This window comes from Homo sapiens, chromosome 12 (genome assembly GCF_000001405.40).
Source record: "Homo sapiens chromosome 12, GRCh38.p14 Primary Assembly".
NCBI lineage: Eukaryota > Metazoa > Chordata > Mammalia > Primates > Hominidae > Homo > Homo sapiens.
Window position 1 is genome coordinate 17,131,912 of NC_000012.12, and position 9,646 is coordinate 17,141,557.

Here is a 9,646-nt window from a genome sequence, read left to right on the forward strand (position 1 = left end):
AGAATACTGACAGGAGAAATATGAGAGAGAATATGGAGATAAAACAAACGACGAATAAAAAAAGGATATATTTTATAGATAATTGCACAGAAGAAGAGTAGAGTTTGACAAAGCTACTGACATGGTTTTAAAATTGTTTTCTCCCATTTCTATTTGTAAATAGAGCAGAGATGAGAAATGGTCTGGAAGTAACAATGATAAATACTTGCTGTACTTCCAAGCTTGGTAACTTGAAAGGTATGGACAGAGAAGTAGCATGTGAGAGAATTTCCAGGAAACCAGTGTGCTTAGAAAATGGTCAAGTTTCCATTAAAACTGGAAGGTGAAGAGAATGTTCAGAAAAGATAAGAATAAAGCGATTGGTAACCCTGTTTTAGGCGGAATAGTGGAAGAGTTTTAGGAATTGGTGAAGCACAAAAGAAAAGATGACACTAGGGATGCATGAAACCTTATAAGGATGGGATTCTAGATGATGAGAGATAACAAGAGGTCTTCGCCTTCCTTTGGGGACTGAAGTAAACAGAAATAAAAGGTATAATAGAGTTAATTTAGACAGATTCCAAGGCATCTCATGGTGATGAGGCTGTGGGCCATGACGGAGGAGGGAGGAATGCGAGTCTTGCCTGATGCACAGCTTTGGCATTGCCTATATCTCCTGTGCACTGGAAGTCCTGACTGGTGCAATCAGGCAAGATTAAGAAATGAAGGACATTAAAATAGGAAGAGGACAAGTCAACCTATCCCTGTCTGCAGATGACATGATCCTATATCTAGAAAACCCCATCGTCTCAGCCCAAAAACTTCTTAAGCTAATAAACAACTTCAGCAAAGTCTCAGGATACAAAATCAGTGTGGAAAATATCACTAGCATTCCTCTACACCAACAACAGTCAAGCCAAGAGCCAAATCAGGAATGAACTTTCATTCAAAATTGCCATAAAGAGAATAAAATACCTATGAATACAACTAACTAGGGAGGTGAAAGATCTCTACAAGCAGAACTAATAAACACTGCTGAAATAAATCAGAGATGACACAAACAAATGGAAAAACATTCCATGCTTGTGGATAGGAAGAATCAACATCATTAAAATGGCCAAACTGCCCAAAGCAATTTATAAATTCAATGCTCTTTCTATTAAACTGTAGTTTTCTAAAATTTAAAATAAAAAAATACCTGATAAACAACAAATATATCAACAGATTTTATAGGGCAAGAGATTATTTTTCAAACAGATGGTAGACAATACCTTCTACTTTTCTTCATAGAAGATAGAGATCTGTCTATAGGTGTGGTGTTCTGAGACAATTCCAATATGACAATGTGTTGTGGCTGGAATAATTGACAGTCATTGAAAAGAAGCCATCCCAGGCACAATCTTAAGAGAAAATGCTAGGTTATATTCTGGGTGCAATAAATGGACTAATGAGAAAAACAAATGACCATAATTGTATCAAGTGGAAGGATGGATCAAGCCAGCAGATCAAAATAAGAAGATATTATAGGTGCCCAGAAAAGTGCACACTCTGCTTTGAGGAGCAAAGAACAGATGGTCAGTGGAGTAAGAGATGGTAGGAGAGCATTCTCAGAGAAATTAGTGTTCTTCATAGGGAATCAAGGTAAGGACTCAAATGCAAGATAAAAACAACAAACCAAAAATAAAACCTGATTGTGGAAAGAGAACACCAATTTAATTCAAAGAGAATGAGAGGAGTGGCTGCTTAATATTAATTTTTGAATTCAGGCACTACCCTTAACTGGCTAACACACACTCTTGTTGGCCTACACAACATCCAAGTCTAAATACTTTCTTCTTTGCCTCTCTCCAGCAGTTGAGAGTGTCCGTGTGACACTTCTACATAAGAACTAAGGAGAATTTGTTGGGAGCGTCAGTAGAAAATTTTACTTCATTTTCCTAATAATAGGGACCTTTTTTTGTTTTTTTGACTGATGTTGCCCCTTTCCCCTTCCTGCCTCAAATGCAAATACAATTCATGTCACTGTAGCAGCTCTCTTGCAACTTAAGAAGGCTGAACGTATCATAGAGAACCTAGTGCTGATGTTGTTGTACAGCCTAGGCCAGGGCTATTTATTTCTTGCTATGAGAGAAAAATAAGCCCCGATTTGTTTAGCACATTATGATCAAGTTTTTGATACTTGCAACTGAAAGCATGTTTAACTGACATGCTTTTTTTTCTAGCCTTGGGAAAGTTGTGTAAATGTCCAGAATCTCAATTTCTTCCAATTTTCTTGTTGTAACATTGAATGAGATAATAATTTTTTTCTTATTAAGTCCAGTGCTTAATGTAAAAGGTTCTTACTAAGTGGTATTCCTTATTATAGTCATTGTTAAAAACAAAGCTGTTAAAAAAGAAACCACTGAGAAGGCACATTTGAGGCTGGCTGAAGAAGATACTCCCTACACTGCTTCTACTTAGGAACAGAGGCTTTCCAAAAATCAGCAGCTGGACTAAGCCTAGAGGTAGGGGTTAAGTGGCTTAGCAATCAAGATTAGATGGATATAGAAACACATAGGCTAGTTAATAATTACTCATATTTTTGGCATGTAGTCAATACTACCCTATCAGTGGTGCACATGTGTCATAATATATACTGCATAGCATGTGTTACTCTCACCTGCTCTGGATTGACCCCATACTTATACCCAGAAGTACTGACCCTTGGCCAGTACTAGGAAACCTATTAATTATGAAAATGGTGCTCTATGACCACAGGTTTCTTAGTTCCTCAATTTGCATTAGTCCATCAGCATTACTTAGTAATTTTAATTGAATTTATGGATTGCAACTTGTGTGGTAGAGCCTCTCCTGGGAAGTGGGTTGCAGAGTAGAGGGGTGTGTAGGTATGTGCTTGAGCCACCATAAGCAGGTAGATGTTGTTTTAATGGTTAAGAAATGTCACACAGTTAGAAAGTTAGAATGTGCCTACACCTGTGTGAACAGACCAGCTCACTCTAAGAGAACCCCCTGGAAGAAGAAGACATTGAACTTTCTGGTAGTGACGTAGCTACAAGGTAGCAGTTTGAGAGCTTGACACAATCAATATGTTCTGTGCAACTTGACCAGTGGAGGTAGGAAAAAGAAGACTACACTGTAGTCATGTTGACTGCATTAAAAGTGAGGACCCATGGAATGCAGACTTTTCCTGCTCTTGCTATATCGTACCTGAGCCTATGATAAAGCTATTTCATGAGCATAAACTATTTGAGATCTGTGAACCCTTTCAACAATTGAATACTTAGGATGATTAATAGGTAAATCACATATATACTCATTCTTAAAATCTGTTATTTGAAGAATTCGGTCGTACTTGTAGTTTAAGTTACTAAAATACAAATAAAATAATCACTCATTTAATCATACCACCAATACATTTTAAAGGTTCACCACATTCTTGCCTTTTTCAGGAGTAAAAGCTACCATGAATTTTGTAGTTTTTAAAAGCTTACTTTTCTCTACATTTGCTACATTTATATGCAACCCAAAAATATCATTTAGATTTGTCTCTTTTTGAACTATGGTGAATGAAATCATAAAGCATGATTTTATTTTCTGACTTGCTGCTTTTTTTCTACTTAATACTATGTATTTGAGATCCATCCATTTTGTGTGCAGCTATCATTTATTTTTTCTAATGTTTTATAATGCATTGTAAAAATATACCACAACTTATCCATTCTCGTGTTGATTGACATTGGTTTATTTCTAATATTTTGTCATTATAAGCAGTGCCATAATTAATATTCTTGTATGCTCCTCATGGTTAGAAAGATGCAATTGTTCCTCTAAGTACATGCATAGAAGGGGGATTTCTGAGTTATAGAGTTTGCACATGTTCAACTTGAGTTTGTGCCATTAACCAAAGTTGTTGTACCAATTTGAAATCTTAGCATACAATATGATTTTTCCATGAGGCATTTGTTGACCATTAAAATTAATATTTTAAGTTCTCAAAGAAATAAGTAACATATTTGTAGTGTAGTGCATCTTGAATGAGATATTGAGACTTCTAGGAAATCATATATTTGAGTACTTCTGGATTTTTATTTAAAATCACAAATTTATATTCTATAGGAATCAGTAAAATTTTAATTTGGGATATTTTATAATAAATATGAAATTTTTACATTATAATATTCCTCTGCTTCTTGAAAATTAGAAAATCATACATTTTTGTTTTATAATGCATGATAGGAGATTGGAAACTGATGGAATGTTGTCAAAATGTCTACTTTATGCAAAGTTTGATGTTATAATAGCCATAGTAAGTGTGCTATTTGAGGGTGGCTGGTTGCTCTACATAAATGACATTGTCTTGTATGCAACATCTTATGACTTAAATATGCATTGTTGATCTTTATTAAAATGGATACCCAAGAACCCACATAAATGTTATGTCTGAACAGTTATGATTTAATAATAAATACCAAATATACTTTCAGGAAAATAAAAGAATTAATCCTGGTAGTTCCCAAACGTAATACTGGGAACCTCATGAGACCTCTCTGACCACCAGTCTCTTCAGTAAATTGTTAATCTTTTCATTGTATTACTGCAATGATTAAGAGAAGTAATATAAAAGAAAATTCTTCAAAAACTTCAAAGCCAATACATAAAACTGTCAGATACCCAATTCACTACTTTTATTGTAAGTCGAAGGTTCATTGGTGCAAGCAACAAGGGATGATTGGGATGATTTAGCCAGAAGCAAATGGTTATTTGAAAAAGAATTGGAAAACCCAGAGTAGATCTGTAAGGGGCCAAGAAGAACCAGAAGGAAAACTCAAAAGCATGGGGGAGAATCGGTTTAGTGACAGTCCCACTTCCCTTCCTGTACACTAGACACCCACATGGCATCTGGTGTGCCGAATGGAAAGATGGGTACCAAACAGTGGACATTGTTGCCGACACCGCCTACCTCTGCCCCTGGAAAAAGAGATATAGCTGCTGCCACTTCTGTGGGGGTCCCCTAATTCTTGCATCACTAGATCCTAAATCAATATCTAGGGTAACTTTGGTGATTGACAAATTATAGTTCGAGTGTCTGCCTCATAACCAGAAGGGAGGATTAAAAAAGTAAGTATAATATCGGGAACAGCAGCTTAGGATTAGTGGGAGTTACATTAGTGGCTAGGTGGCCAAAGATAATAAATGATACCCACATGTTTTCCTCAACCCCTAAGAAATGCTATTAAAGGTACAGAAAAGTTAAATGACCTACCTAAAAGTCACAGAATTACCAGAAGGTCAGACAAAAGAATTGAAAGCTGTGTGTGCCTTGACTTCAAAGAATACAACTATCAAACTATGCTAAATTGTTTCAATACAAACTAAGCCTGATACATCTAAGATTTTTTTTTTTTCTTGAATACCTGGGGACCAAGGAATAAATTGGATCTTTTACAAGTTTACTGATGCCCAGGAATAGTTAATGATAAAGCTGTTAACTTAAAACAAATATGGTATTTTTTGGTTTAGTATGAGTGAATGTCCGTACATATTAAACTGTGCACTGTGTTATAAATACCACATTCTGTCATAAATCAAAAGGGATAAAAACTGTACTATGAAGCGACTGTGCTGTTGGGATGCCAGCACAGATTTGTCCATTTAGGCAGCACTCAAATCTGTCTAGATTTCATTGACCTCTTTCCAAATGTAAAGTGCTGCATAAATTCTTAACAGTAACAAGTGACCTCAGTTGCTGTTGTCTAATGGCTTTCAGCTTTAAATGTTGACGATGTAAGTTCAGTTCATGAGAGACTAGTGCCTACACCATGGAAACCTCTAACACAATCAGTGCTAATTTGCAGTCTAAACAGAAAGGCCAAGGCTTAACTAAAGAGGCTAAATTTCCTTCTTCTTTCTATGACTATTCCTGCTAGCTTGGTATTACAAGCAAATTTTTAATATAGTCACTTCATACAAATTCATATTTAAGCATGAGACAAAGCAGGACAGATCCAATTTGCATGGAGAAGGCAGTGTTACATGTGAGAATGAGTTAATGGTTAAAAGTCAGAAGACCTAGGTTTGATCAGGACTGTTGCTTTTTCAGTTTTGCAACCTTAGACAAGTCACTTAACCTTTGGGATCTTCAGTTACTTTTATCTGTAAAACATGAATAATAATACCTATTGCACAGATGTGTAATATCTCAAGAAAATGAAGGAGAAACGTGATGGCAAAGTACTATTCAGATACAGGTTATTCTCTCTTTTTTTTAAGTGTTATTGTTAACTGTTTCACCATACAATTTGGTAGTCATTACCTACAAGGATTATGAAAATTTTAGGGAGTTAGCAAAACCTGTGTTGACTCAATCAACACAGAATATTGCTTTTTATTGGAGAAACTGCTGTGAGTCTTTTTCTCTATTATTTAGTGGGAACTTATTGTTAACAAACAGTAAATAATATCAGGGCTGCTACCACTGGAGGGAGGGTGCTGTCTTTATTATTAGGTAGAGTTTTCAAACTGGTTTATGGTTTCAGCATTGCCTAAAACATAGTTTTTCAATTTAGTAGCATATGTTATCATTTTCACCTTACATTATATCTCAAATCCATTAATTTTCCCCTTGCTTCTACTCTTTCTCACTTTCAATACATTTTCTACTCATCTGCTTTTGAAGTTTTTTATAAAATAATAATATCATGTTTCTTTCCTATGTAAAATGGTGTAATGGTTTCTTTTTCTTTCTTTCTTTTTTTTTTTTTTTTTGAGACGGAATTTTGCTCTTGTCACCCAGGCTGGAGTACACGGTGCTATCTAGCTATCTCAGCTCACTACAACCTCTGCCTCCTGGGTTCAAGAGATTCTCCTGCCTCAGCCTCCTGAGTAGCTGGGATTACAGGCGGCTGCCACCACGTCCAGCTAATTTTTGTATTTTTAGTAGAGACGGGCGTTTCATCATGTTGGCCAGGCTGGACTCGAACTCCTGAACTCCGGAGATCCACTTGCCTCAGCCTCCCAAAGTGCTGGGATTATAGGCGCGAGCCACTGTGCCTGGCCACGGTTTCTTACTGCATTTAAAATAAAGTACAAACTCCAAATGTACATAATCTGGCACTGGCTTCCTGCCACAATTTTATCTAATGCCATTCTTTTCTCTCTGACTTCGATGATAAAGATTTTCTTCATATCTTTGATCTGGCCAGCTCTTTGCTACCTTCAAAACCTTTGTTGATACTGGCTGTACTGGAATACCCTTTGCTTTTCTTTGCTCAGTGATGAGACCTCAAATTTCATCTCAAGTTGAATGTCGGGTCTTTGGGGAGACCTTTCCTGACCGTCCTATATAACTCTTTCCCCATTCTAATGTAAAGTATTTATTTTTGAACCTACTTTGTGTCTGCCTTTCCCACTAGAAATATGAGTTGCATGAGGGCAGGGGCCATGTCTAATAAGATCACCAATGTATCTCATGCTCTTAGAAAAAGGCTTGGTATATATTTGCTGCTCAATATTTATTTATAAATGAGTAACAAATGGCTGCCTGACTGGCTAGCTGTCTGGGTGGATGGGTGTATTAAAACCTTGTCCCTCTCTCCACAAAATTAAAAAAAAAAACTACTTGTCAATTAAAATACTGATATTATTCCTGAGAATCTGCATGTAAATTGGAATTTGATTTTTAAAACTTGATTTCCCATTATAATCGCATACATTATTTATCTTTTCTTTTAACTGATTTTGTAAGTCTCTGTTTTTTGTTTCTCTAAAGTTTTATTTTATTGTTTAATTGACAAATAATTGTATATACTTATGGGGTAAAACGTGATGTTTTGATACATCTATACATTGCATGATGATCAAATCAGGGTAATTAGCATATCCATCGCCTCAAATATTTTCATTTCTTTGTGGTGAGAACATTTAAAAATCCTCTCTTCTAGCTATTTTGAAATATGCAATATGTTATTATTAACTACAGTCACTAAAGCATCTGATTTTTTGTGTGTGGTGGGGGAAGGCATACAAATTTATTTAACATGTATGTATACATGAGAGCATACGGAATGAAAACTCAAAAATATAGGGGAGATTTTCCATTTTTATGCTTAGGTTCAACAAAGTATGGACAGCTGTGTGGAAACACAATTGCACAAAAAAGGTCTGATCTAATGCTAATAGCCTGAGTCGGGGAACCCAGCAAAGCCTGTCTGTCTAGACTCTTCTTGGCCTCTCTGAGCAGCATTCCTTTCTTCTGGGTATGGGGCAGGGCCCTCTCTGGAATGGGAATCTTGTGACCTACAGTCAAACAAGCTGGGTCAGATTACTTCTTTATGGCCAGTTTTCACACAGAAAGTTGAAGGGAAAATTAGAGTAACAGTTTTAGGTTTTTATGGCTGGCTTTGGGGAAAAAGCATTCTGATTTCTGTAACTTGCATTGGAGAAGAGGGATTCTAGATTCTCTTGCTAGCCTCGGATGGAGAATGGGACTGAGAGACAGGAAAGCAGAAGGTCAGAGAAAAACTTTTATTTCTGAGGCTATTTCTGAAGCCTTCATTTTGGGGTATTGTTTTCTGAGCCCCACAGAAGAAAGGTACATTTTCTTTTTTGGCCTTGAGGTTGATGTTAAAGCTGGGCCTGAGCTGCTGTAGAAAATGACCCACTGTCCCTAGGGTCCCTAGGGTGGGCCAGAGCCAGACCAGACCCAAGGATTTGGAGAGGGCACCATTTCCAAGATGTTGCTTTTATATTTCACACTACCACAGCATTTCACATTTAGCAGTGAGGGGAAGGGACAGCCGTGATTTTGATGATACTGTCAAAGCATTCAAAGGTCTCCAGAGAAAAGAAGACCAGTCGAGTGGGGGTGACAGTATGAAAGGAAGATTTTTTTTAATTCAATTGTATTTTAAGTTCCAGGATACATGTGCAGAATGTGCAGGTTTGTTACATAGGTAAATGTGTGCCATGGTGGTTTGATGCACCTATCAACCCATCATCTAGGTATTAAGCCCCACATGCATTAGCTTAGATGCTTACCAAGCATATGTTTTTTAACAGTTTAAAGTCTGTATTTCTAGACTCTTGATAAAAGAATTAGTAGTGTCATGGAATCATGAGGTTTCAAGGACATTGATCTCATTGGGTATACACGTGACCTCTATCCATAGCCTAAAATTATCTCTATAATATGTGAATCATTCAATTTTGTCATGCAAATTACATTGACAAGGAATTCATTATTTCCTAAGAGCTTGCCTTCCAAAAGATGACAAGATGGCACTTAAAAGAATAAATAACTTGGTCACATTCTTTGAATCATTGGATCTGAAAGCCCTTTAATTTGCCAGATAAAGAGGGCAATATATTTGTTTTCATATTTCTGCTAGTATATGTGTGTTTGCTTTTTGTCAATTTCACAGACGTAGTCCTGACTTATGCCCACATTATATTTAGTATACATTTCAACTTTTTGGATAACATAAAATTATAAAAGACTGGAAAAACCTTCCTGCCTCATTTTGTAGACCAAAGTATGCTAAACTCAGTCAGAAATGAAGCTGTTTATAGAGAAAAAATTATTTATTTATTGTTTAAATTATGTAACCAAATATTATCAAGTGCTCTCTTATACTCTGAGATTTAAATTAAAATTCAGTACCTTTTAAAA

At 36.2% G+C, this 9,646-nt stretch overlaps 2 annotated features.

Moving 5' to 3' along the window:
• Nucleotides 1,797–1,941: an enhancer, noted in NCBI's record as "145 bp 12:17286714 sequence used in MPRA reporter constructs". NCBI's record gives its function as "activates a minimal TATA-containing promoter with rs7139319 allelic activity by MPRAs in C283T melanocytes {active_cell/tissue: C283T}" and the evidence as "EXISTENCE:reporter gene assay evidence [ECO:0000049][PMID:36423637]".
• Nucleotide 1,869: a transcriptional cis regulatory region, noted in NCBI's record as "rs7139319 or 12:17286714 MPRA-significant variant associated with a GWAS melanoma risk locus at 12p12.3". NCBI's record gives its function as "allelic transcriptional activity by MPRAs in C283T melanocytes {active_cell/tissue: C283T}" and the evidence as "EXISTENCE:reporter gene assay evidence [ECO:0000049][PMID:36423637]".